The sequence below is a fragment of the Homo sapiens genome, chromosome 17, assembly GCF_000001405.40.
Source record: "Homo sapiens chromosome 17, GRCh38.p14 Primary Assembly".
Taxonomy (NCBI): Eukaryota; Metazoa; Chordata; class Mammalia; order Primates; family Hominidae; genus Homo; species Homo sapiens.
Window position 1 is genome coordinate 80,560,471 of NC_000017.11, and position 27,682 is coordinate 80,588,152.

The 27,682-nt window shown below is 45.7% G+C and overlaps 1 protein-coding gene and 1 long non-coding RNA gene across 5 annotated transcripts in view, besides 1 other annotated feature; one reads left to right on the plus strand and one right to left on the minus strand.

The window, feature by feature from the left end:
* On the minus strand, positions 1 to 26,491 carry LOC105371922 (uncharacterized). 3 transcript variants are annotated; one of them, XR_007065932.1, is made up of 5 exons: positions 26,354 to 26,491; positions 19,334 to 19,497; positions 5,611 to 5,714; positions 3,825 to 3,935; positions 1 to 88 (listed from the first exon to the last, which is right to left on the minus strand). It is a non-coding gene; the product is annotated as an uncharacterized LOC105371922 (long non-coding RNA). The 3 variants fall into 3 exon arrangements; XR_001753038.2 differs by having other exon boundaries at positions 19,334 to 19,515; XR_001753040.2 differs by lacking the exon at positions 3,825 to 3,935 and having other exon boundaries at positions 36 to 88.
* RPTOR (regulatory associated protein of MTOR complex 1) overlaps positions 1 to 27,682 on the plus strand; it is a 421,531-nt gene that overhangs the window by 15,633 nt on the left and 378,216 nt on the right. The gene's annotated exons all lie outside the window — the stretch shown is intronic.
* Positions 14,879 to 15,173: an enhancer, noted in NCBI's record as "tiled region #3542; HepG2 Activating DNase matched - State 12:CtcfO, and K562 Activating DNase unmatched - State 8:EnhW". NCBI's record gives its function as "activates a minimal TATA promoter and a strong SV40 promoter by Sharpr-MPRA in HepG2 and K562 cells {active_cell/tissue: HepG2 | K562}" and the evidence as "EXISTENCE:reporter gene assay evidence [ECO:0000049][PMID:27701403]".

Sequence of the window (27,682 nt, forward strand, 5' to 3'; positions counted from 1 at the left end):
CAGTGCAGGAGGCAGGGTGTGAGGTGGTGGTGGCTGGATGGGCCGGACGGAGAAAGGCCTTCTGGAGGTGGGAGCTCTAAGCCAGTAGCTGAAACAGAATGGAAGGGAGTGGGGTGGAAGGTTCAGCTGGAGGAACGGGGACGTGCAGGAGCTGAGAGGTGAGTGAGCAGGGTCTTCAGGGAAACGCCACTGGGGGCCTCCTGCAAGGGGCCTTCCCTTGTGCTGTGGGAGCCGCCTCATGCCCACCCGGTGCTCTGTGCCTGCCATTCCCTTCCCACACTGCCACTCCCCAGCACTTGGCTACGTGTTCGTTTTGTCTCCCCACTAGGATGTTGTATAGAGAACAGGGACTCTGTGTTCACTGCTGAGCCCGAGGCTGTTCCCGGGGTGACTGGCGGTCAATAGGTGATCAATAACTGTTTGTTGAGTCAAGGAAGGGAGCAGAGACCCTGAGAAGAGAAGAACTGAGAGATCTGTGAGCCGGGGGGCTGGACAGGACAGATCCTGACCGGCTTATAAGGCCACAGGAATTTGGATTTTATCTTAAGCACAAGTAAGAAAGCTTTTAAAGCAGGGTGGTGACATGTTCAGAATGGCATTTTATTTTATTTTATTTTTGAAATGGAGTCTCACTCTGTCACCCAGGCTGGAGTGCAGTGGTGTGATCTCGGCTCACTGCAATCTCCGCCTCCCGGGTTCAAGCAATTCTCCTGCCTCAGCCTCCTGAGTAGCTATGATTACAGGCACCTGCCACCACACCCGGCTAATTTATATATATATGTATATATATATGTATATATATATATATATATATATATTTAGTAGAGATGGGGTTTCACCATATTGGCCAGGCTGGTCTCAAACTCCTGACCTCGTGATCCGTCAGCCTCGGCCTCCCAAAGTGCTGGGATTATAGGCATGAGCCACGCACCCAGCCCTAGAATGGCATTTTATTTTATTTTTATTTTTAGTTTTTTTGAGGCAGGGTCTCACTGTGTCACTGAGGCTGGAGTGCAGTGGCACAATCACCGCTTACTGTAGCCTCGACCTCCCTGGTCTCAGGTGATTCTCCTGCCTCAGCCTTCTGAGTAGCTGGGACTACAGGCATGTGCCACCATGCCTGGCTGATTTTTGTATTTTTTTGTAGAAACAGGGTTTTACCATGTTGCCCAGGCTGGTCTTGAACTCCTGGGCTGGAGTGATTCACCACCTCAGCCTCCCAAAGTGCTAGGATTACAGACATGAGCCACCGCACCCAGCCCAGGATGGCATTTTACAAAGATCCCTGTGGCTGCAGACTGGGGTGTGTGAGAATGTGTATATGTGTCTGAGTGTGTACGTGTGTTTGTGTGTGACTGTGTGAATATGTATGTGTGAGAGACTGTATACATGTAAGTATGTATGTGAATATGTGTGTGTGTGAGTCTGTGTGTATGTGTGATTGTGTACATGTGCTTATGTGTATGCATGTGTGTTTATGTCTGTATGTATGTGTGTACATGTTTATACGTATGTATTTATGTGTCAGTGCATGTGTATTTGTGAGTATATGTGTGTGTTAGGGAGGAGCATGGTGTGGGGTGGGGAGTCTCTTGAGGGTAGGAGGAGATGAGGGTCTGGTGGCGGCTTGGGCTGGTAGTGACAGGCCCGGCAGCCCCAAGAGCCCCTGGAAGCAGAATTGCGACCCTTGGTGACTGCTTGGGTGCAGGAGGATGCAGGGTGACACGCAGCCTCCTAACTGGATGTAGGAGAGAAAAACAAGATACACCAGGCATTTGGAAAGCCAAAGAACACGTGTTTGCTTGTGAAAACTTAAGGAATGTTTTGGTGGGATATGTTGAAATTGTTGCCTAAAACGATCGCTGATCTTGTGCCCCTCAGTGTGTGGCCTTCGTTTACCCCTGCTTCCCCTCACTCCCCTGCTTGGGGGCTGGGTGGTCATGACAGCCTCCCCAGTACACAGTGAGCATCTTTTAGTTTGATGTTTTCTTGGAGAGCTTTTTATTTTATCCTTAAAAGTAGATCAGACAAGGCCGGGAGCAGTGGCTCATGCGTGTAATCCCAGCACTTTGGGAGGCTGAGGCGGACGGATCACTTGAAGTCAGGAGTTCGAGACCAGCCTGGCCAACATGGCGAAACCCCGTCTCTACTAAAAATACAGGAATTATCTGGGTGTGGTGACGCACACCTGTAATCCCAGCTACTAAGGAGGCTGAGGCAGGAGAATCGCTTGAACCTGGGAGGCAGAGGTTGCAGTGAGCTGAGACTGCGCCACTGCACCCCATCCTGGCAACAGAGCAAGACTCTTGTCTCAAAACAAAAAACAAAAACAAAGTAGATCGGACAAGCAGTTTAAAGATATATCAAAACAAAAGTACTGTGAAAAAGTTAAATCAGATTTTTCCTGCATTTTCTGTAAGTCCTTGCTGAGGTCCAGATTTAGTTTTCAGCTAGGTGTGACCGTCGCCTGCCTTGCTGCCGATGTCCTGAAGATGCTTCATGTTGGCACATGTGGCTTCATCGGGTGGGCTACCATCCTGCATCAATAGTGGGCCGTTTCCATGGTTTCTGGTCTGTTGCTGGTCTGGCTTGGCAGGTGGCAGAGCCTGGGTCAGACCCGCAGTTTGGCCTCAGGGCTCAGGCTCCAGAGAACCACTGTGCAGCCTTTTACTTCGTACACACAGCTCTTTTCACCAAGATGTGTTTTTACTGGGTCAGCAGGCATGAATGTTTTCCCTGAAGAGTTTTTTTTTTTAATTTTTATTTTTGAGACAGGGCCTTGCTCTGCAACAGGCTGGAGTGCAGAGGTGTGATCATAGCTGAGGAGGCTGAGGCGGGTGGATCACGAGGTCAGGAGTTCGAGAACAGCCTGGCCAACATAGTGAAACCCCGTCTCTACTAAAAATACAAAAATTAGCCAGGTGTGGTGGCGGCCGCCTGTAGTCCCAGCTACTTGGGAGGCTGAGGCTGGAGAATCACTTGAACCCGGGAGGCAGAGGTTGGAGAATTGCTTGAATCCAGGAAGCAGAGGTTGTGGTGAGCCGAGACTGCGCCACTGCATTTCAGCCTGGATAACACAGCGAGACTAAGTCTCCAAAAAAAAAAAAAAAAAGATAATAAATAAAAAATAAGGGAGATAAAGTTCTGTTTTCTTTTTTTGTTTTGAAATCAAGATATTTGTTTTAGTCAGGTTCTTTTGGTTGCAAAGAAGAGTCTCACTTAAATGTCCCTAAGCAACTATGTTGCCTAAGGATGCCCAGTGCATCTTAATTGCTGGATGAGTTGCCACAAAGTGAACACTCTCACAACCAGATCCAGAAACAGAACAGCCCCGCCTTGAAGATCCTCTGTGCCCCCAGTCGTGCCCACCCCTCCCCAGGAAGCTGTGCTCCTGATGTCCAGGGTTGTGTGACCTTACTTTTGCTTTTGGTTTCTCTCGCTCAGCATTGTCTGTGAGATTCATCCATGCTGCTCTAGTAGCCATGCTCATTCACCCCCTTGGACCGCAGTTAACTCACCTGCTGATGGACATTTGGGTGGTTTCCAGCATTTCGGCTACTAAAATTGTGCTGCAGGGAACATTCACATGTCTTTTCTTTTTTTTTTTTTGGAGACGGAGTCTCGCTCTGTCGCCCAGGCTGGAGTGCAGTGGTGTGATCTGGGCTCACTACAAGCTCTGCCTCCCGAGTTCACGTCATTCTCCTGCCTCAGCCTCCCGAGTAGCTGGAACTACAGGCGCCTGCCACCACGCCTGGCTAATTTTTTGTATTTTTAGTAGAGATGGGGTTTTACCGTGTTAGCAAGGATGGTCTCAATCTCCTGACCTTGTGATCTGCCCGCCTCGGCCTCCCAAAGTGCTGGGACCACAGCTCGCATGTCTTTTTGGGAACATGTATCTAATATGTCTCTGGTGTTGATTCCTAGGGGTGGAATTGCTGGGAGATAGAGAATACAAATGTTCAGCTCTAGGAGATACCGCCACACCCTTCTTATTTTATTTTATTTTTTCATATTAAAACAACATTTATTTTAGGTTTAGAGGTACATGTGCAGGTTTGTTATATAGGTGAACTCACGTCACAGTGGTTTGTGTACAGATTATTTTGTCAGCCAGGTATTAAGCCTAGTACCCAACAGCTTTTTTTTTTTTTCCGGATGTGCAGGTTTGTTATATAGGTGAACTCATGTCACAGAGGTTTGTGTACAGATTGTTTTGTCAGCCAGGTATCAAGCCTAGTACCCAATAGCTTTTTTTTTCAGATCCTCTCCCTCCTCCCACCGTCTACCCTCAAGTAGGCCCCAGTGTGTGTTGTTCCCTTCTTTGTGTTTGCATGTTCTCTTCATTTAGCTCCCACTTATAAGTGAGAACATGCGGTGTTTGGTTTTCTGTTCCCGTGTTAGTTTGCTAAGGATAATGGCCTCCATGTTCCCACAAAGGACATGATCTTATTTTTTTGTGTGGCTGCATAGTATTCCATAGCCTATATGCACCACCTTTTCTTTTCTATATGTTGATCTCTGGCATGTACCACATTTTCTTATCTGATCTGTCATTGATGGACATTTAGGTTGATTCCATGTCTTTGCTATTGTGAGTAGTGCTGCAGTGAACATAAGCATGCGTGTCTTTATGGTAGAAGGATTTCTAGCTTTGTGTGAGAGTCCCAGTTCCTCCACATGCTTGCCAATACCTGGAACGCATGTTATCTTGAAAGTTTTGTAGAAAAACACCTACAGTCCTTACCCTTGAGACTTGTACAGATAATACTAGGAAGTGTCTCTTACATGGGAGAGTCTTTTTGTAACTGTTGGATGACTGCGCCAATGCCATCAATGACTTTGTGAGGTTTGGTGGAATAAGGAGCTTGGTAGAAGCTGGATTGCTGCGGAATAATTGTTAAGAAGGCAAAGGGAAGGGGAGGTGGTGGTCACACACCATGGGGGGTGTAGGAGGAGCAAGGTGGGCTGGTGACTGAAGGAGGCCACAGTAAAACAATGTTTTCTTTGAGAAGGAGCCAGTGCAGGGGAGAGTCAAGGCAGGGGAGAATGTGGTGAAGCAAGCGGCACTGCTGAGGAGGGGTTAGAGCCCCAGGGCTGGGAGGCGGAGGGAGGCGTGCACTGCTGTGGAGGGGTTAGAGCCCCAGGGCTGGGAGGCGGAGGGAGGCGTGCACTGCTGTGGAGGGGTTAGAGCCCCAGGGCTGGGAGGCGGAGGGAGGCATGGGTGTGGGAGCTGTCTCGCTCTGTACTTTGTATCTCTTTATAATTTGCAAACATTTTAAAAGGTGGATTAATTTCCCTAATCCTGACAAAGGCCCTAGCAGGCTTATTTTGTTACAGTTGAGTAAACTGAGGCTATTTGGAGAGCACAGCCAACCTTACCAAATTCTTTGGGTGTTAAGCGGCGAGCCAGGAGCTGCATCTAGCGCTGGGACAGCTTTGGTGCCCGGTTTCTACACTGCTCTTGCTTAGTTTTGAGTGCAGCCTTTCTGGCAGTTTCTCATTGGTTTAAAGTCCCTCCTTATGTGGAGTCAGACAACTTTGATGGACTTGAAGAATTGAAGAGGCAACATAGTTTTTATCTAAGAGAATGGGATTTGGAGTCCCACTGACCTTTCTCCAAGCTGGTTCCACGGCTCTCTACCTGTCTGCTCCTGGTCTGAGTCTGAGTGTTTTCATCAATCAAGTGGGTCTAAGACTCCTCCTGCATAGCGCAGCTGTAGGGATTAAGCAGGATAATATTGAGAAATTCCCTGGGACTGCTTGACTGTAGTTTAAGAGCCCAATGTTTGGTGCCTGTCTCATGCCGTGGTCAGCTTCTGTGCAGCAAATAGAGATAGCGCGGTAACTCTGTGTGTGCTGTTATGGAGAGGTTTCCCAGATGTTACTAAGTAAAAACAATGCAAAACAAGGCACAGAACAGATTTTATGGTATGAACCTATTTGTGTTTTTAAAAAGGTATATGTACACATAAATAAAATAATTATATAAAAAATTTATGGAAGGTATACACTTATACACAGGTATGGGAGGTAGGGGTAGGTAGAATTATAAGAATGTATATTTTCCTGGCTGGGTGCGGTGGCTCACGCCTGTAATCCCAGCTCTTAGGGAGGCCGAGGCAGGCGGATCATGAGGTCAGGAGATCGAGATCATCCTGGCTAATACGGTGAAACCCCTCCTCTACTAAAAATACAAAAAAAAAATTAGCCCAGTGAGGTGGCAGGCACCTGTAGTCCCAGCTACTTGGGAGGCTGAGGCAGGAGAATGGCGTGAACCCGGGAGGCGGAGCTTGCAGTGAGCCAAGACCGCGCCACTGCACTCCAGCGTGGGCGACAGAGCGAGACTCCGTCTCAAAAAAAAAAAAAAAAAAAAAAAAAAAAAGAATGTATATTTTCCTGTACTTAATTTAAAAAACTTCTGCATGATTATTTTAGTGTTAGTTTAAACAGCAACAACAAAATATTACCCTTATGATATGTTCTCTATTAGCTTATTAGCTGTACCTCTTTTTTTTTTTGAGACAGAGTCTCACTCCATCACCCAGGCTGGAGTCCAATGGCATGATCTCGGCTCACTGCAACCTCTGTCTCCCAGGCTCAAGCGATTCTCATGCCTCAGCCTCTCGAGTAGCTGGGATTACAGATGCATGCCACCACATCTGGCTAATTTTAGTATTTTTAGTACAGACAGGGTTTCATCACGTTGGCCAGGCTGGTCTTGAACTCCTGACCTCAAGTGATCCACCTGCCTCAGCCTCTCAAAGTACTGGGATTACAGGTGTGAGCCACCATGCCCAACCTATACCTTTTTGTTTTATTTTATTTTTTTTTTTGGTGGTGGTTCTAAGATTTTCAATATTACATCTTTAAGTTATCACAGTGTACCTTCAAATGATATTATGCCACTTCACATGTAATATAAGAACCTTATAGAAGAAGGGTGTACTGCTCTCCCCCGTCCTTTTGCTATCAATGTCATACATTTTATTTCCACACATTTTAAACCCCACAGTACATTGTTATTACTTAAAAAAGGTCTGGCCGGGCGCGGTGGCTCACGCCTGTAATCCCAGCACTTTGGGAGGCCGAGGCAGGCAGATCACGAGGTCAGGAGTTCAAGACCAGCCTGGTCAACATGGTGAACCCTGTCTCTACTAAAAATACAAAAAAAATTAGCCGGGCATGGTGGCGGGCGCCTATAATCCCAGCTACTTGGAAGGCCAAGGCAGGAGAATTGCTTGAACCCGGGAGGCGGAGGTTGCAGCGAGCCGAGATCGCGCCACTGCCCTCCAGCCTGGGTGACAGAGTGAGACTCTGTATCAAAAAATAAATAAAATAAATAAATAAATAAATAAATAAATAAAAGTCCATTATCTTAGAAATAAATTTTAAAATAAGAATATCTCTTATATTAACCCACATATTTCTATTTATTTTTTCTTTTTTTTTATTCTGAGACAGAGTCTCACTCTGTTGCTTCGTCTGGAGTGCAGTGGTGTGATCTTGGCTCACTGCAACATCTGCCTCCCGGGTTCAAGCAATTTTCGTGCCTCAGCCTCCCAAGAAGATGGGACTACAGGCATGCGCTACTATGCCCAGCTAATTTTTTTGTGTTTTTAGTAGAGATGGGATCTTGCCATGTTGACCAGGCTGGTCTCGAACTCCTGGCCTCAAGCAGTCTGCCTGCCTCAGCCTCCCAAAGTGTTAGGATTACAGGAATGAGCCACTGCACCCAGCCCACATATTTCTGTTTCTAGGCTTCATTCCTTTTATAGCTCTGAGCTTGAATCTGGTATATTTTCCTTCAGTCTGAAGAACTTTAACTTTGCTTATAGTACTGGTATTTTGGTCACATGTTTTCTCAGCTTTTGTTTGTCTGAGGTTGTCCTTATTTCACCTTTATGCTCCTAGCACTTTAAGGATGTTCTGTTGTCTCAGGCTTGTCTTGTTCCTGAAGTCTGCTGTTGGTCTTACTTTTGTTCTCTAGTATGTAATATTCTTTTTCTCCTCCAGCTACTTTAAAGATGTTTTTGTCATTGGAATTTAGCAGTTTGATTACAATGTACCTTGGTGTAGTTTTCTTTGTGATTAGCCTGCTTATGGTTTGTTGACATTCTTGGATCTGTAGGATTATACTTTTCACCAAAATTTTGGAAAATGTACTGCCATTATTTTTCCAGTTTTCCTATCTCTCCCCTTGTTCCTCCTCAATCTTCCAGAGCTCTATTTACATTTATTTTAGATGCTAGATATTGTCCCACTGAGGATCCCCATTCCCTCCATCTTTTTTTCCTCTGTGATTCAGTTGAATTGTTTCTGTTGCAATGTCTTCGCGTTCTCTCATCTATTCTTCTATAGTATCTAACATGCTCTTTATTTTATTGTTACAGAGACAGGAGGATCTCACTATGTTGCCCAGGCTGGTCTTGAACTCCTGGGCTGAAGTGACCTCCCATGGTGTCAGGATTACAGGTGTGAGCTGCAATGCCCAGCCCTACCATGCTCTTAAGCCAACTCATCCGATGTATTTCAAAATTTCAGATGCTATTTTTTTTCTTTAAAAGTTCCATTTGGATTTCTTTCTTCGTATTCATGCTCTCTTTTAAATCCTTGAACAAATTTGTAATATTGTTTTAAAAATCTTATCTGTTATTTCCTCGTCACTCTCATTTTTGGGTCTAGATGGACTGACTTTCTTGTGGTTGTGGATCAGGCTTTCCTGCTTTTTCTTACCTCTAGTAATTTCTGATTGGATGCTGGACATAGGGAGTGTTACGTTGTTGAGCATCTGCGTTTTGTTTTCTGCATTTAAACAGTGTTGAGTTTTGTTCTGGCAGGAAGTTAGTTTACTTGTAGATCAGCTGCCTTCTTATAGGGCTTGTTTGCTGTCTTTTAAAAACAGGTCTAGGCCGGGCGTGGTGGCTCACGCTTGTAATCCCAGCACTTTGGGAGGCTGAGGCAGGAGAATCGCTTGAACCCGGGAGGTGGAGGTTGCTGTGAGCCGAGGTTGTGCCATTGTACTCCAGCCTGGGCAACAGAGCGAGACTCTGTCTCAAAAAAATGAATGAATGAATGAATGAATAAATAAATAAAAGCAGGTCTAGGTCAGGATTGGAAAACTATGGCCCCTTGCTTGTTTTTATAAATAAAGTCTTCTGGAACACAGTCCCATTGTTTGTGGATGGTCTATGTTGATTTCATGTGACAGTGGTAAAGTTGAGAAGTTGAGGCAAAATCTATATGTCCCACAAAGCCTAAAGTATTTATTATCTGCCCCTTTACAGCAGGAAATTTGGTGACCCCTAGTCTAGAGAAGCCTTTACTTTTGGTCTAGTTTAGCCCTGTGCCTAACGTTGTGGCCTTTCTGAGTCTCCGTGAGGGTCGTGGGTGCTTCATGAGGTCCCTTAATTCTTCCTCGTTGGAGCTTGAATGTTTCTCACCCTGCTCCGCTTCTCCTGCCCCTGTGGCTGCTCTTTGCCTGGCCTCCTGGAGTCTCACCAGCAGCACGCCCTGCCTTGCCTTCAGGCAGGGACTCAAGGAGCCCAGCTCCGTTTCTGCCTCCTCCGTGTGGCTGTCTCCTCCTTGTTACTCTGCCGCTCTCATTCTGGCTGCTGTGGCCATCATGAACTCAGACCTCTCTCTCCTCAGCTCAGTGACTGTCACGGTCTGCATGGGCCCCTGTCTCCATGCAGAAAGCTCCTGTGTCACGGGGCACACCTCATTTGTCTTCCCGCTCAGGGACCACGTTCCTGTATGACTCGTTGTTCAATGCCTGAAGAAGTGTTTTATGTATTGTGTTCAGTTTTCTAGTTGTGTATGGTGGGAGGGCTAGGCTGTTCCTACTTAGTCCATCTTTTCCTGGAAGTGGTAGTCCCCCCAAGTATGATATAGAAGGGGCAAATGAAAGAAAGTGCCAGATAGATGAATGATGCGTGACGGGATCACCTTTTATTAAGTAGGTTAGAGTAGCTGATGGTTGATTTTTTTATTTTTATTTTTTATCTTTTTGAGACAGAGTCTCACTCTGTCACCCAGGCTGGAGTGCAATGGTGCAGTCTCGGCTCACTGCAACCTCCGCCTCCTGGGTTTAAGCGATTCTCCTGCCTCAGCCTCCGGAACATCTGGGACTACGGGTATCCACCACCATGCCTGGCTAATTTTTGTATTTTTAGTAGAGATGGGGTTTTACCATGTTGGCCAGGCTGGTCTCAAACTCCTGACCTCAAGTGATCTGCCTGCCTCGGCCTCCCAAAGTGCTGGGATTACAGGCGTGAGCTACCATGCTGGGCCTGATGGTTGATTCTTTACAGTGAATAAGTTGTTATGTATTAATGAGTTGTTCTTTCACTGAACCTAATTATCCCCCCCAGTGGAGTTTCACTTTCCAACTTACACACAGCATTAATATTTAAGATTACATTGGTGTATCACATTAATAGTACAGATTAAAGTTTGGAAGAGTTCAGCTTTCATGATCCCTAGACAACTAATTTGCAAGGCTAGATTTAGAGTTTCTCCTTTCTCTGATAGAAACATTTGCATTTCACTTGGGCTTTATAACGCCAGGTAGGTCAGAGGTTGAAACTGAAATAATTGTTAAACACGTAAGAGGATTTAAGGATAAAATCCTCCCCTGTTTTGGTGTTACAGATCTAAATTGGGCACTCAGTCATGTAGTGCCAGAGTGCGGGATTTGGCTGGCTACCTTAAAGGTTTAGTTAATTATACAGAAATCCTCTTTCAGTGTTAATCATTGTTCATGTCCTATAGAAAATGGTCTAATTGTTCTTTTCATTTAGCTATTTTGTTTAAGAAGGTCCTTTCTAGTCTGATTTGATTTCTTTCTTTTTTGAAATTAGGAAGTAAAGAATACAGAAAACATCTATTTACAATTCCATCAGTATTTATAAAAACATCTGTGTGCCCCCAGCCCAGTCAAGATATAGAATATTTCAGTACCCTAGGACTTCTTTATGTGTTGCACCTTGATCCCAGTTACTCCTTTTCTTAAAGAGGCAAATACTTTTCTTCCTTTTGTTGGCAATAATTATCTCTTCACTTTTCTTTTGAGATCGGGTCTCATTCTGTCTCCCAGACTGGAGTGCGGTGGTGTGATCATAGCTCACTGCAGCCTCGACCTCCTGGGCTCAATTGATCCTCTCACCTCAGCTTCCCGGGTAACTGAGACTGCAGGTGCACACCACCACACCAAGCTAATTTTTGCATTTTTTGTAGAGACAGGGCTTCACCGTGTTGTCCAGGCTCCTCTCAAACTCCTGAGCTCAAGCAATCTGCCTGCCTTGGCCTCCCAAAGTGCTGGGATTATAGGCATGAGCCACTATGCCCAGCCTCTTCACTTTTCTTAATGGTTTTCCTACCTGTGCGTCTCTAAAAGTTGTACTTGCGTTTTCGTGTGTTGCTTCTTTTCTCAGTATCGTATTGATAAGAATCAGGTGGTTGAGAAAAACATTTAGGTATGCTGTAGGGATAGAGTAACTATTTTAAATTCTTTTAAACAAAAAAATCAGGTGCTTGAATATATGTTGTTTACTTCTATGTAATATCTCATTTCATGTGTACATCACAATTTACTTATCCATTCTACTGCTGAACAATGTTGAAATTAGCATTACATATTTATTTTAGAGACTGCGTCTCACTCTGTCACCCAGGTGGGAGTGCAGTGGCACCATCACGGCTCACTGCAGCCTTGACCTCCCACGGTCAGGTGATCTTCCCACCTCAGCCTCCCAAGTAGCCAGGACTACAGGCAGGTGCCATCATGCCTGGCTAATTTTTCTTTGTATTTTTTTGTAGAGATGGGGTTTTGCCATGTTTCCCAGGCTGGTCTCGAACTCCTGGGACAAATGAGCATTCTTATATATTCTGGTACACCTAAGCAGGCATAGGATATAAGATAATTATATATTTTCTTCTTTTTTTTAAAAAAATGCCTGTTCAAGTCTTTTGCCCAGTTTTCTGTTGAGTTGTGTTTTTCTTACTGATTTTAGGAGCTTTTATATATTTTGAATATGTATTATAAATACCTCCCAGCCTGGGCAACATAGTGAAACCCCATCTCTCAAAAACAAACAAACAAAAAAAGTAGCCGGGCATGGTGGTGCACACCTGCAGTCTCAGCTACTTGGGAGGCTGAGGCAGGAGGATGGCTTGATCCCAGCAGTTCCAGGCTGCAGTGAGTCGAGATCGCACCAGCACACTCCAGCCTGGGTGACAGAGTGAGACCCTCTCTCTAAAAAACCAAAACCAAAAACAAATCTCAAAATCTTTCCACTCGGAGGCTTGTTTTTTCATGTTCCTTATGGGGTCTTTTGACATTCTCCATTTTAATATGGTCTGATAATCAGTCTGTTCCTTTAAAGGTTGGTGCTTTTTTTGCATCTTATTTAGGAACTCTCTTTCTCCCTTGATGGCATGAAGTTAATCTGTATTATCTGTTAAGGCTTTATGCTTTTTCTTTCCTGTTTAAGTTTTGTATAAACTTTGTGTATGGTTTAAGGTGGGGATCTAGTTTCCCATGTGGATATCTAGTTGTCTTAGTAGATTTTTGTGAAAAGCTCATCCTTCTTCCTCAGTTGCAGTGCTCTGTCGTAGGCCAAGTAGGTCTGTTTGGGACTTGCTGTTTATCCCATTGATCTGCTGGTGTCATTGGTCAGCCCTAGCACCACTCTGTCTGCTTTAATTACTAGGGCTTTATAAAAAATGTGTGAAGGAAGCACTTGTTTTTCTTGAGAATGTCTTGGCTATTCTTGTTCTTTTGTTCTTCATATAGGTTTAACAATTAGCTTGACGAGTTCAAAGAAAGAAAATTTGGGGGGTATTTGATTGGGATTGCACTGAGCCTATACATCAATTTGGACAGATTTGATATCTTTTCAGAATTGAGACTTCTGGTCCACACACATGGCATATCTCTTATTTAGATAGGTCTTCTTTAATTTCCCTGAATTAAGTTATATGCTTTTCCCTGTAGAGGTGTTGCCCATCTTTTGTTGGAATTCTTTTAAGTACTTGATATTATTTTGATGCTGTCCTAAGAGGCAACTTTAAAAAATTTAAGTTTTTAGCCTGTTATTTGGTAGGTATATAAGAGTAAAAATTATTTTTTATATTGCTTTATATGCAGCATTCATGATATCTCCATGTCATCAGGAGCCCTGGCAGCCATGCACACAGCTTCCTGCCCCCTTGATCCTGAAGAGTGTGTAAGGCTGCTGGGGATCGGATGCAGTTATGTAAGGGGTGTGGATGCAGAGGAGCCAGCCGTGGTTTCATGCTGGTCTTGAGTGTCATTCTAATCATGAGGCCACCTTACACCCCTCTACTCCAGGACATCCCACAGATCAGAAGGCTCATGGGAACCCAGATGGAGAACCAGCTCCTAGCACTGGCCTTCCCCATTTATCTTAACTGGTGCATTTCCAGGGCAGCAGGGCTGCAAGAGTCAGCCCTACAGCTGTCTGCCCACATGCCTGGGTCGGGGGAAGTTTTGGGCTTCATGTCAATTCTTGAGTTCCCGAGAGTTCGTGTCCAGGTTGGGAATAACTTGTCCCACAAATGCCTGGTAGAACTTGCCCATAAGGTCATGTAATCCGAAAGTGTTGTTTGTAAAAAAATTTTTAAAGTTCTGATTTAAGCTTTTAAGATGGTTTTTTTTTTCTTTTTTCTTTTTTTTTTTTTTTTTGAGACGGAGTCTCGCTCTGTCGCCCAGGCCGGACTGCGGACTGCAGTGGCGCAATCTCGGCTCACTGCAAGCTCCGCTTCCCGGGTTCACGCCATTCTCCTGCCTCAGCCTCCCGAGTAGCTGGGACTACAGGCGCCCGCCACCGCGCCCGGCTAATTTTTTGTATTTTTTTAGTAGAGACGGGGTTTCACCTTGTTAGCCAGGATGGTCTCGATCTCCTGACCTCATGATCCACCCGCCTCAGCCTCCCAAAGTGCTGGGATTACAGGCGTGAGCCACCGCGCCCGGCCGGTTTTTTTTTTCTTTTTGAGTCAGTTTTGGCAAGTTACATTTTAAGAAGACTTTGTCTATTTCATCTAGGTTTCAAATTTATAGGCATAAAGTTGTTTGTAACATCCTCTTGTGATCTTTTTAAAGTCAATGGGACTGTAGTAATGTTTCCTTTTTATTCCTGACATTGAGATTTGTGCGTCCACTCTTTTTTGTTGTTGTTTTTTTGAGACAAGATCTTGCTTTGTCACCCAGGCTGGAGTGCAGTGGTGCGATCATGGCTCACTGCAGCTTTGAACTCCTGAGCTCAAGCGGTCTTCCCCGCTTAGCCTCCCAAGTAGCTGGGACTACAGATGTGTGCCACCAAGCCCAGCTTATTTAATTTTTTTTTTTTTTTTTGTAGAGACAGGGTCTTCTTATGTTTCTTAGGCTCATCTTGAACTCCTTGGCCTCGAGTGATCCTCCTGCCCTGGCCTCCCAAAGTGCTGGGATTACGGATGTGAGCCACCATGCCTGGCCCCCTAGTTTATTTTATATCTTATTATTTCCTTTTTTCTACTTTCCTTGGGTTTGTTTTATTACCTTTTCCGCCATTCTTGAGGGGGAGATTCTTGAGATGAGTACTTACCTTATTAGTTTTCAGCCATTTGTCTTTTCTAGTGTATGCACTTAGCATTTAGAAATGTAAATGCTTAATGGCATTCAACAAGTAGTAGTTTTTAAAAATATATTTATGTATTTCAGAGACGAGGTCTCCCTGTGTTACCCAGGCTGGTCTTGAATCCTGGCTCCTTCCGCCTTGGCCTCCCAAAGTGCTGGGATTATAGGCATGAGCCACCATGCCTGGCTGGATATACAGTATTTTTGTTCAGTTCAAATTATTCTCTAAATTTTATTTTGACTTGATCAATTTATTATTTAAAAGTGTTGTAATTTTTAAACATAGAAGACTTTTTCTAGGATTTATTTTTGATTTCTTAATTGCATTTTGATCAGTAGACGTCTGTCAGCAGGGCAGTAGCAGGTGCACCGCACGTCTGTAGGGGGAGCCATCCACACCGTTGCCATGTGCGAATGGCGCCCCCTCGTGTTGTGGATGGTGTAGGTTGCACCGCTGTGTGCACACGTGTGCATACATGCATGCACACGCTTGGAATTTCAGCTGCTCTGTCCCTTATAGGCCCGTGCGTGGTCAGTTTTTGTAAATGTTCCCTGTGTACTTGAACACGATGCGTGTCTACAGCTGTTGGTGCCACCTTTTATACGTGTCCATTAAGTCAAATATTTTATTTGTGGTGTACAAATCATTTACACTTTACTGATTTTTTTGACTGTTTCTATCAGTAACAGAGAGGTGTATTAACACTTCTCACCATCATTGTAAATATGTCTATTCTCCTTATTAGACATATTTAGATAGAATTCTCTGCCCATTTGTGCTTCATTTATATTTTGAGGCCATATTGTTGTAAAACTGTTGTATCTTCCTGGTAAATTGGAGTCTATATTGTTGTAAAGTGACTCTTTATCCCTAATAAAACTTTTTGCCTTACAGTCTGTTTTGTCTCAGGATAGTTACACCAGTTTTCTCTTGGTTAGTGTCAGTCTTGTTTATTTGTCCTTTTATATAAGTCAACACTTCTGTAGCCTTGTATTTTTCATATGTCTCCTATAAACAGCTTGTAGTTGGATTAAAACAGATCAGTCTGATGATTTTTGTCTTTCAGTTGGAGCACTTAGTCTACTTACAGCCATTGGGGCCTAAATCTGCCATCTCTTTTGTGCTTTCTATTTGTCCTTCCTGTAATGTTTTTTTAAATGCCTTTTTATAGATTGAAAATATTTAATTTCTTCCCTTTTACTATTTTTGAAGCAGTGCACTGTTTTTCTCTTGTAATGGTTTCTTAGAAATTACAGTAGGAATACTGAAAAAAGTACAACGTCCGTCATGACCTTTATTCTTTTCTTAGACAACCCAAGACTTAGGAAATTATTTAATCCGTTTGTTTCTTGTATGTGAGTATTGCTGTGTACAGTATTTTATTTTTAACATCCCAAGTTACCATCCTTGTTTTCGGCAGTCATTGTTCTTTCAGGCTGATGCACATGCTTTTGACTCTTCGCTCTCCTTTCCTTTAGCGTCTCAGAACTTTCCTATGGGGCCACCTACTTTGACTGAAAGACTTCAGAATTCTTTTCTCATGACGGTCTACTGATGCCACATTCACTTCGTTAGTCTGAAAATATCTTTTTTGTTTGTGTGTTTTTGTTTTTTTGAGACAGGGTCTCGCTCTGTTATCCAGGCTAGAGTAAAGTGGCATGACCTTGGCTCACTGCAACCTCCACCTCCTGGGTTCAAGCCATCCTCCCAACTCAGACTGTTGTGTAGCTGGGACAGCAGGTGTGTACCACCACACCCAGCTAATTTTTGTATTTTTTGTAGAGACGGGGTTTTGCCCTGTGGCCCAGGCTTGTCTCGAACTCATGGGCTCAGGCGATCCACATACCTTGGCCTCCCAAAATGCTGGGATTACAGGCGTGAGCTCCCATGCCTGGCCTCTGAAAATGTCTTTATTCAGTCATAATTCTTTTTTTTTTTTTTTGAGATGAAGCTTCGCTCTTTTTGCCCAGGCTGGAGTGCAGTGGCACGATCTCAGCTCGCTGCAACCTCTGCCTCCCAGGTTCAAATGATTCTCCAGCCTCATCCTCCCAAGTAGCTGAAATTACAGGCATGCACCACCATGTCTGGCTAATTTTGTATTTTTAGTAGAGATGGGTTTCACCGTGTTGGTCAGGCTAATCTTGAACTCCTGACCTCAGGCAATCCATCTGAACTGGCCTCCCAAAGTGCTGTGATTATAGGCATGAGCCACCACACCCGGCCTCAGTTGTCATTCTTGAAAGGTATTTTTCCTAGGGATGGAATTCTAGAGTGATGTTTTCTTTTAGACTTTGAGGACAGCTGGGACCTACAGGTGCATGCCACCACACCTGGCAAGTTTTACATTTTTTTTATAGAGCTAGGGTCTTCCTATGTGGCCCAGGCTTGTCTTGAACTGCTGGGCTCAAGCAGTCCCCCTGCCTCGGCCTCCCAAAATGCTGGCATTAGAGGCGTGAGCCATTGCGCCTGACTCTCCAGCTTATTTACAGTCCTTTCCACGGAAGTCACTGAAGAATTGGATAAGTGTACAGTCTATACTTTTCATCAAGCAATAGATAAAGAGGTAGCAGCAGGGTGTCATGGCCAGGGTGTCAAACTGTGTGGAAGCTGCAGTCCAGCTCTGGAGCTGGGCTTCATGCCCATCTCCAGTGCCATTCTCTTCGAAGGGCCTTGGACCTGCAGCCTTCCTGGAGGGAGAGGGTGAATAGCCAAGATGCAGAATGGGCTTTCTTTGTAATCTGGAAGACCTACGCTTAATGAAGCAGTGTCAGTTTGAACACTTCTTAGGCTTATGCAAACATGTTTAGGTTATTTTAGCTGATTGAAGGCAAAATATGGCCTGACGCTGTGATGTGCGGCGCAGTCAAATGCGTCAGACCCTGGCTGTGTTCACAGAGTGCAGCATCCAGACTGAGGGCGGAGATAGCCTCTCTGCTCATGAGCTGTCTCTAAAGAAGCGCCCTCTTTAAAAAGATTGCACGTTACATTGGAATTTATTCAAGGTGCGTGGCTGAGATAGTGAAGGGATGCAAACCGTCATCTGAGGAACTTAAGTCAGGGAGCTGGGTTGTTTAGTGTGGAGTAAAGGATCTTTCATGAGTGAGTGGTTGGGGGGGTGGTACATTTCACTCCAGATGTCAACAGTCATTGCGATGTTGGCACTGCTTTGGTCCTGAGTTTCAAGGGAGGAAATTGAAGGCTTGAGAGGTGAAGTAATTTGCAGAAGGTCCCCTGAACTCAGGCCTGACTGTCTCCAAAGTGGCGTGTCAGCTGAGGGAACACAGGGTATCTTGCAGTCGTGATTTCTGATCAACACAAGCTGTCCAGCTTCCCAACATGGCCAAACAACAGGACAGACGTGGCTGCTTTCCGTGGGCTCTGTTGCTTCTGATTTATGTGTGTCTTTTCTCTTTGAGTTGAAGCATTAGAAGGTGTATCCACCAAGATCCAGTAAAGAAGACAGAAAACACACCAGGTATCTCAACCAAGCGGATTTAGGTGGGGAACTGGTTTTACAGGCTTTCGAGGGGCTGAAAGGGCCAAAAGGAAACCTTGACTGAGACGGTAACTACAGGAGGCAGGTGCTGCTGCTAGGGCTGGGGGAACAAATAGAAGAGGCTGGAGTTACTTAAATCTAGATGGCTAGAGAAGGGACCCAGTGAGCTGGGGCTTGGGCCACTGAGGTAGGGACACAGCCTGGCGCTTGCTGGCACCGCTGCTAAGTGCACAGTGCAGGGGCCTGGGAGCAGAAGGAAGCAGGAGGGCATGGGGGCGGCCGGCAGCTGGGAAGGGAACCATCCTCCCTCCTCGCCTGCCAGCCTCCCTGGAGGGTGCTGGACAGGTTTGAACTTCATGTGGTAGCAGTAATTTTAAGGTTTTGTTTTGTCCCCTTGCAACTCTCCTTACTTGCTTTGTCCCCTTGCAACTTATAACTACCTTACACAGGTACTCTGCATTGGTACTCTGCACAGGTACTCGGGGTTATTATTTACATATGGGATCTGAGCCTCCTGTGCTTTGCCCGAGTTAGGGCCTCAAGGACTTTGTGGATCCCTTCCTGATCTTTTATTTATTTATTTGTTTATTTATTTATTTATTTATTTTGAGATGGAGTTTCGCTCTTGTTGCCCAGGCTGGAGTGCAATGGTGCGATCTCGGCTCACCGCAACCTCCGCCTCCCGGGTTCAAGCGATTCTTCTGCCTCAGCCCCCTGAGTAGCTGGGATTACAGGCATGCACCACCACTCTGGCTAATTTTGTATTTTTAGTAGAGGCAGGGTTTCTCCATGTTGGTCAGGCTGGTTTCGAACTCCCGACCTCAGGTGATCCGCCTGCCTCAGCCTCCCAAAGTGCTGGGATCATAGGCGTGAGCCACCATGCCCGGCCCTTCCTGATCTTTATGGCAAGAGGTTTTTGCCACAACAACACTTCACACCTGACTGAAGCCCAGAGAAGCCCACGTCACGATGGCTGGAGGCAAGGAAGAGGATCTAGTCTTTTCTCTCTCCCAGAGGCGGGAGCCTTATGTCCACATCACTGTGAGCCTGCTGGCCTTGCCCAAGGACTATTCTTTTAAACTAAGAGAGTAAATTAAGATATTTCCGAGGGGTCTGGGATCCATGTAAATGAAAAAGTTCAACCTTTTTTGTAAGCCATGTTCTTAAAAATCTGCATGTGGGGTAGTTAAGTGTCACTTACTAGAGTCGAGGATTTCAGCGCAGGTCTTTTTGAAGTTCTGAGATGAACTTCTCCTCCTCTTTATACTTCTCATTCCAAGGATGCTGAGTGTGGGATTATTCCTGATGCAGTGCTGCCTAGGGAGAGGAGCCTCAGCACGGCATCTATCATGGGCTGCTTTGCTTCTGTATTTAGAAAGAGAACTAGAATTTTAAAATAATTGACTTACAACTACTTAGAAAAGAAAGGGCCAAATACTATGTGCAATCATGGCTTCCTCACGGTCAGGCATGTTTCCTGATCTCATCTCCTTTTTCAGGAGACTCTTTGGAAATACATGCATATATTTCATTATTGGGAATTACCAATAATTTAACCACTTTTGTGCTATTAGACATTTAGGTTGCTTCTGATTTTTTAATATTATAACTCATGTTATGATGAGACAGTGTATAAATCTTTGTTCAGATTTCTGGTTATTTTCTCAGTATGGTTTCTGGAAGTGATAGAAATAACTGGATAAATAATAAATAACCTTTAGGGGAATTGGCACGTTTTGCAAAATTGCTGTTTGGGAAGTTTGTCCCATTTTATGTGCCCGCTCGTGGGGTCTGAGGGAGGCTTTTTCCTGGCTCGGCTGCCAGCCCTGGGCATTGCCATTTGAAAATACCTTTGCAATTAAGTAGACGCTTGACCGTTTCATTGTTTTAATTATACTTTTCGATTATTAGTGTAGTTGAGTATTTTTACATATGTTTATGGGTCAGTTTCATTATGTTTAATTGTTTATGCCCTTCGTCCACTTGTAAGTAAAACAGTGAAGAGTGACCCGTGTGGGGTTTTTTGTGTTTTGTTTTGGAGACAGGGTCCCACTCCGTTGCCTGGGGTGGAGTGCAGTGGCATAATCACAGTTCGCTGTAGCCTCGAACTCCTCAGCTCCAGCAATCTTCCCACCTCAGCCTCCCGAGTAGCTGGGACCACAGGTGCATGCCACCATACCCGGCTAATTTTTTATTTTTATTTTTTGTAGATACGGGGTCTCCCTATGTTGCCTAGGCTGGTCTCAAACTTCTGAGCTAAAGTGATCCTCCCATCTCAGCCTCCTAAAGTGCTGGGGTTGCAGGCATGAGCCACCATGCCTAGCCTGTGTGGCCTTTCATACTAGGTGAATCTGTGGCCACCCACATCCTGAGAATTGTTTTGTTCCTCTTCCAACCTAGAGGAAGGTCCCCTTGGAAGTGTGGCTTGGGGCTCTGTGATTGAACCTTTCCTATTCATCATTTTCGTCAGTGTGTTGGATACAGATTTGGAAGGCGTGATTACTGAGTGCTGATGATATAAAGCTGGGAAGGACAGGTACTAATGTAGATGAAAGACTCGTGATTTACTCCAATCTTGAAAGGATGACATGCTGGCAGATTGTGGTAAAATATAACAGAGATACTTTGAAAGTCCTGCATTTAGTCTTCCCTTTCTCTCCCTTGCTCCCTTCCTCCCTTGCTTTCTTTCTTCCTTCCTTCCTTCCCCCTTTATTTGTCCCATCAATTGCGTAAATGCAGGTAAACATTTAGCCATTCCTGTGAAAGCCGCTGTGTATGTGGTGGCCTTAATCATTGTCCATTTTTGGGCCTGTGGATCCCTGTTATTCTCTGCAGTGGAGACTGCACATCGGGCCAGTGCATGCCTGCTATTCTCTGCAGTGGAGACCGCACATCAGGCCAGTGCATGCCTGCTATTCTCTGCAGTGGATACCGCACATCGGGCCAGTGCATGCCTGCTATTCTCTGCAGTGGAGACCGCACATCGGGCCAGTGCATGCCTGCTATTCTCTGCAGTGGAGACCGCACATCGGGCCAGTGCATGCCTGCTATTCTCTGCAGTGGAGACTGCACATCGGGCCAGTGCATGCCTGTTATTCTCTGCAGTGGAGACTGCACATTGGGCCAGTGCATGCCTGCTATTCTCTGCAGTGGATACTGCACATCGGGCCTGTGGATCCCTGTTATTCTCTGCAGTGGAGACTGCTCATGGAGCATCTGATTTTCTTCTGGACCTTCTATTTTGAGCTGCATTCACAGAGCACACCTGAGAAATGGTGGCCAAGGGGAGTGATCTAGGACCCTGAGAAACCTGGAAGCAGCTCCCCTTAGGGAGAGTTGCAGAGGGCTGGGGATGTTGAAGGAGAGAGAAGGCTCTGGAGGAACTTGGATACTCCTTTCCAGGCTGAGAAGTGCTGCCCTGGGCACTAGAGAGGGAGAGCTCTGGCCATGGCTTCTGAGGGCCAGCTGCAAGTGGACACTGCCATGGGACAAACAGCCTCATCTCACTCATTGAACATTCCAGGAGGAACTAAATGACCCCTCTCAGGATGTCACGGGATTTCTATGTTGCTGGAAAGATGCTTGTGGTGGAAGCGTGGTTACTAGGTGGACCTGGATTCAGAGGACAGCTCAGCTGATTCCTGGCTTGTGGACTTAGATGGGTTGAACCTTTAAACACTCAGAACATCAGTTTCCTGTAAGGTGGGGTAAGAATGCGTGTGTACTGTGATTGATGTGAATAAAAGGAGCACTGTTGCCAAGTCCCTGAGTGCAGACCCAGCAGGTTGGAACCACTTCTTTTCTGTTCCCTGAACAATTGGACTGTGTGGACGCAGATCCTGCTTCCCTGAGCTGCACGGCCCTCTCTGATCGCACATACATGTGTGCATCTGACACATATGCTTGAGTGTGAGGGTGACAGCGGTCAGACAAATGGGCTTTTTTTTTTTTTTTTTTTTTTGAGACAGCGTCTTGCTCTGTTGCCCAGGCTGGAGTGCAATGGCGTGATCTCGGCTCACTGCAACCTCCGTCTCCTGGGTTCAAGCGATTCTCCTGCCTCAGCCTCCCGAGTAGTTGGGACTACAGGCGCCCGCCACCATGCCTGGCTAATTTTTATATTTTCAATAGAGACGGGGTTTCACCATGTTGGCCAGGATGGTCTCGATCTCTTGACCTCGTGATCCGCCCGCCTCAGCCTCCCAAAGTGCTGGGATTACAGGCGTGAGCCACCGCGCATGGCCAAATGGGCTGTTTTAAATCTATTAGAAAAATTTTTCACAATTTTTAGTCTCTATTATTCTTTCTTTTTTTTTCTTTTTTTTTTTTTGAGACGGGGTCCCACTCTATCACCCAGGCTTGACAGAGTGCAGTGGTGTGATCTTGGCTCACTGCAACTTTCACCTCCCAGGTTCAAGCAATCCTCTCACTTCAGCCTCCTGAGTAGCTGGGACCCCAGGCATGCGCCACCACGCCTGGCTAAATATTCTCAGTTATACTTTCAGTACACATAAAGGCAGTTGTCAACCAAGCTGTTTGTTAGAAAATGCTAACTGTGGTCCCTGTCCACTGCCTCTTTCCTGTTTTTTTTTTTTTTTTTTTTTTTTGAGACAGAGTCTTGCTCTGTTGCCCAGGCTGGAGTGCAGTGGCGCGATCACCGCTCATTGCAGCTTCTGCTTCCTTGGTTCAAGTGATTCTCCCCTGCCTCAGCCTCCTGAGTAGCTGGGATTACAGGTGGGCACCATCATGCCAGGCTAATTTTTCTACATTTAGTAGAGATGGGGTTTTGCCATGTTGGCCAGGCTGGTCCCAAACTCCTGACCTCAAGTGATCTGCAAGCCTTAGCCTCCCAAAGTGCCGGGATTATAGGTGTGAGCCACTGCGCCCAGCTGTTCACTGCCTCTTTCTGAGGCCTGTCCCACGTGGGACCTTGTGAGCTGGTGGAGGCCTCTTGAGGGCTGGCAGGAGCCTGTGCTACCTCTGGGCCCAGCACCTATGCTCCCGGGAGCCGTCCCGCCTCTTGCCTTCAGTCTTCATCTGTACTGTGAGGATCATCCACTGGCCTCCCAACCCGGTAGTGAAGGGGGAATAACAAGGACGTCTCTGGAAAGTGCTGCAGGTTCCCCTGAGGAAAGCTATTGTAGAGTAGAAACGAGAATGCACCCCCGGAATCAGCTCTCCGATGATATGCAGGTGCAGCTGCCTCCAGCCCTGCCGTTGGTCAGGAGGAGGCAAGGGGTACCTAATGTGCTCTTATTTGGCCCATGATGAGTGGAGAAAGAGACCTTTGCCCAGGTGTCCATGTCACTGAGGCAGTGGCGGAGGGTGTCCCCCAGCTCTGCAGTGGTCACCCTCTGCCTCCTGTCCTCGGGCAGCTGCCTGTGGCTGCAGGCGGTGAAGGTGCTGTTGGTTGTTTGCTCCCAGACCTGGCTGTGGGGCCTGCTCTGCAGAGGTCAGGGGCATGGCGCAGGGGGACCCAGCAGGGAGCTGGAGCCAGGCAGTGCGGGCTGAGCCAGGCCGAGGAGACCCCCGCTTTTATCTTGAGTGTTGTCATCTGATGCTGAGTTCTTTCTCAGCAGTGAAGGGGAATCAGTGTCCTGACTTGAATTGCACTTTGATGGGGTTTTTAGTTTCTGTGTGTTGGATTTTTACTGAGAGCTCTAGAGAAACTAGTCACCTGGGGGTTTCAGAGGAGGGTTGTGAAGTGCTGAATTTTTCTTTGAGCTTTTAAGGTCAGAACTCAGGGGAGCTAAAAAAAAATGAAAAAATAATAATTTAAACCTTATAAGGTGACTCATAAATAACTGCCTTTCAAGATGAGTGGAATTCTTCTGGGAAAAAGCCCTGTGGAAATTCTCCTGACCACCGAGAACAAAGAGGACCACTGCTATAAAAACCTCCAGAATCATCATCTGCGGATGGAGGGAAGACTCTGCCAGGAGTGCGATTTTTCCTTTATGTGTTACTCCGTTTACCATGTCTCAATAAAATGGCAGAGAAAGTCCTTTTCCTGTGTTTCATTTTTCCCACAACCTTTCCCCTTTTGACTTCTTTGGGGCTTCCCCTTATCTGAGACTGGCCCACCGCAGAATTCAGCTTCACGGGCCTGTCCGGATGGAACGTGGACGCCATCATGTGTTTACTGCTTTTATCTCTTAGCCACTTAGAAACATTGTTACCATGAGAAAATGGGAATTATGCTTTGATCCTTGAGTTAAATCGAGGCTGTGGTAGCTGGTGAGTTATGAGGCTTTATTAAAATAAATGATCTTGGATGTGTTGGGTATTCACTGGCAAGATGTTACCAGAACTCAAACATTTAAGATAAGCCACATATTATTTGTATGGATTCATAAAATATAGAAAGAGCGTGAGCTGGCTATGGCTGGGTTTTGTATCCTTTCCCCCAACTCTGTTACACTTTTCTGAAAGAAAATGAGACTTTGCTTTTATGTGAATAGCTGTAGAAAGCTAGGGAGGGGTGCCATTTGGAAATTGAATTAAAACCAAATTATGTAAGAATGTGGTTAGTTTTATAATATCCTGTTCTTGTTTCAGTGCTTTGGTTTATTATTATTATTATTATTATTATTATTATTATTATTTTTGTTTTTTTTTTTCCTGAGATGGAGTCTTGCTCTGTCGCCCAGGTTGGAGTGCAGTGGTGCGATCTCGACTCACTGCAAACTCCGCTTCCCGGGTTCAAGCGATTCTCCTGCCTCAGCCTCCTGAGTAGCTGAGATTATAGGCACGCGCCACCTCGCCCAGCTAATTTTTGTATTTTTTAGTAGAGACAGGGTTTCATCATGTTGGCCAGGCTGGTCTTGAACTCCTGACCTCATGATCCATCCGCCTTAACCTCCCAAAGTGCTGGGATTACAGGCGTGAGCCACCGCGGCTGGCCGGTTTATTATTTTTTCCTCAGTGCCGTGGAGGCGCACAGGGCTGCTGCACCCGTTAGGGTGGCCCTGGGTCCTACAGCCCCGGGCACACGGTGCACAGCACTTGCGTAGGGTGGTCCTGAGTGTGCACGCTGCTACGTCGCTCAGGCTTATGTGCCTTAAGCAGTTGCATAGTTTAGGCACAGTGCTGCTTCTCAAAGTGAATTCTACTTGGAGCCACTTATATATAGATTAGATTTTATAATGTGTAATATGAAGAGGAGCCTGGAGGTATACTTAATTTAGGAATTATATTATTTTTGGTTTGGGTTTTAAAGTATTTGAATGCCTGTTAAACCAATTCTGTAGTGGCTAGAGGTTCAAAATTTGTAGTATTTATGAAAAATACTCATTCTAAGTCTGCTTCCTTTTATAATTTAGGTATATACACTCTCTGTTCAGAATTCCTCAATACAACGCATTAAATATTGTTCCGAGGTCTTCTGAGCCCCGTTCTCAGTGGTGGCCGTGAGCTAACATTTCCACATCTGTCACAATGTTGTTTGCAGTTTGTCGGGAGGCGCTCTGCAGCCAGGCAGATGGAGGGGCCGCTAGGCAGGATGTTGCGAGTCTGTGAGGGCATCAATCCCCCGTTTCTGGCATAGATTTAATTGTTTGGTTCAACTGGGAAGCCATATATTAACTTCTACTTCAACCCATCCTGATCTCTCCACAGATGCTAGTTTTATACAGGCCTATTTTTCTCTGAAATTGAGCCTGAGAGACAAAAATCCACACTTGGGCTGTCATAGATTTTGGTAAATTGAGTCTTGTGACTGATTGGTGCCTCCTGCCTGCCCCGTGATCCTGTATGTAGTAACCACGTCGTGATCACAGGTCATGGATTGGGGAAAGTTGCCTCCAAAGATGTGGGTGTCTGTTTTTCACTCCACTTTCCATTTGGCCAAAAATTCAACACTTCAGTTTCTGTTTCAAAAAAGTAACAAAGAATTAAAAGGAAAAAAGCAGTAAGAAAGTTTGGGCCATGGTGGTGCTCTGGTACCCGCCTTCCTGTTTCTGCCTGTGTCGCTCTGGCTGGGCAGGGTCCGGGCATGGCAGCCCTCCCCTCTCTCCTCCCCCTCTGCCATGGGGGCCTGTGGTTCAGCTGCCAGGCGGGAACTGAAGAGCAGCCCCGGGCGCTGCAGCTTCCTGTCCTGCCCATCACGGTCAGGGACGCCGGTGTCCGTTCCTTCTACTCCAAGTCTGTCCCGAGTTTGAATGTTCAGATGCCACCAGCAGCTCTTTAGGGTCTGGACCAAACGTCTGATTTTTCCTCTACTAACCTGATATGTTTCTCATGGCCTTTCTCGCCTTTTTGCCATGTGTGATAGCTGTTCCTGTTCCTTGGACTGGATTTTCACGGGCTCGCTGGCAAGCAGGTCCTGCATAGCATGCTCAGCATGTAGCTGTGCTCCGCGTCTGCCGGATGAACACACGAGCCGGTCATGGGCCACGTCAGCAATGTTCTCGACCTTTGTAAGCTTCGAGAATGTGCTGTGTGTACAGAAGGACGCGCAGCCAAGTATGCGGTGGAATATCCAGAAACAACACGGGGCTTGTCGGGTGCAGACGGGGCGCCTCACCGGCCCGGCGCAGCCCCGCTCGCCCCTCTGGCCTCCCCCGCAGTTCCCCTTTCCTGGTTGTGCAGCATGCACTCGCTTGCCTTTTTCTTTTCTCACAGTTTTATCAACTGTTTGTGCATCCCCGAAATAATACAGCTTTGCCTGGTGTGGAAACGTATATAAACATTATCATAGTATCTGCGCTCTTTTGTGTCTTGTAAGACACCCGAGATCGATTCTGTTGCCGTGTGTAGCGGCGGTTATTCTTGCTGTTGTCGTGAGCCATTGAATACAGTGTCGAACACTTGGGTTGCCCAGTGTGTGTGTATGATGAATAGTGCTGCTATAAGTGTTTTTATATATGAATTTTGGTTAGCACCTGTGTGGATTTTCGGGAGGTAGTTGCCTAGGAGTGGAATTGCGTAGTAATCGGGTTGGGTTTTAGCTGAGGTTGTTTCTGCTGCACCACACTCCGGCCCACACTGTTACGCATTTTTACTGTGTTCATTCCTGTGGGTATGTATTATATCATGGCTGTAATTTACTTCCCCCTGGCCCCGACTTTGAAAAGTTGTATTTATTTATGAGATACAATGTGATGTTTTGATAGATATATACATTGGGGAATGATTAAATCGAGCTTATTAACAACCATCACCACACATATGTATCTTTTTTTTTTTTGGTGGTGAGACCATTTGCAATCTCTTTGCAATTTTAAAATATATAGTGTTATTAACTATAGTCAGCATGCTGCATAGTAGATCTCTGAACTTACTCTCTGTCCAACTGAAGGCTTGTGCCTTTTGACCAACATCTCCCCTACCCCTTCCACCCACTAACCTCTGGTGACCACCATTCTACTCTGCTTCTGTGAGTTTCGTTTTTTTAGATTTCTCATGTAAGTGACATCATGTGGTGTTTGTCCTTCTGTGGCTTATTTCACTTAACGTAATGTCCTCCTGGTTCATCCATGTTGTTGCAAATGACAGGATTTCCTTCTTTTTTTTAATGGCTGAGTAGTATTCCATGGTGCATGTATATCACATT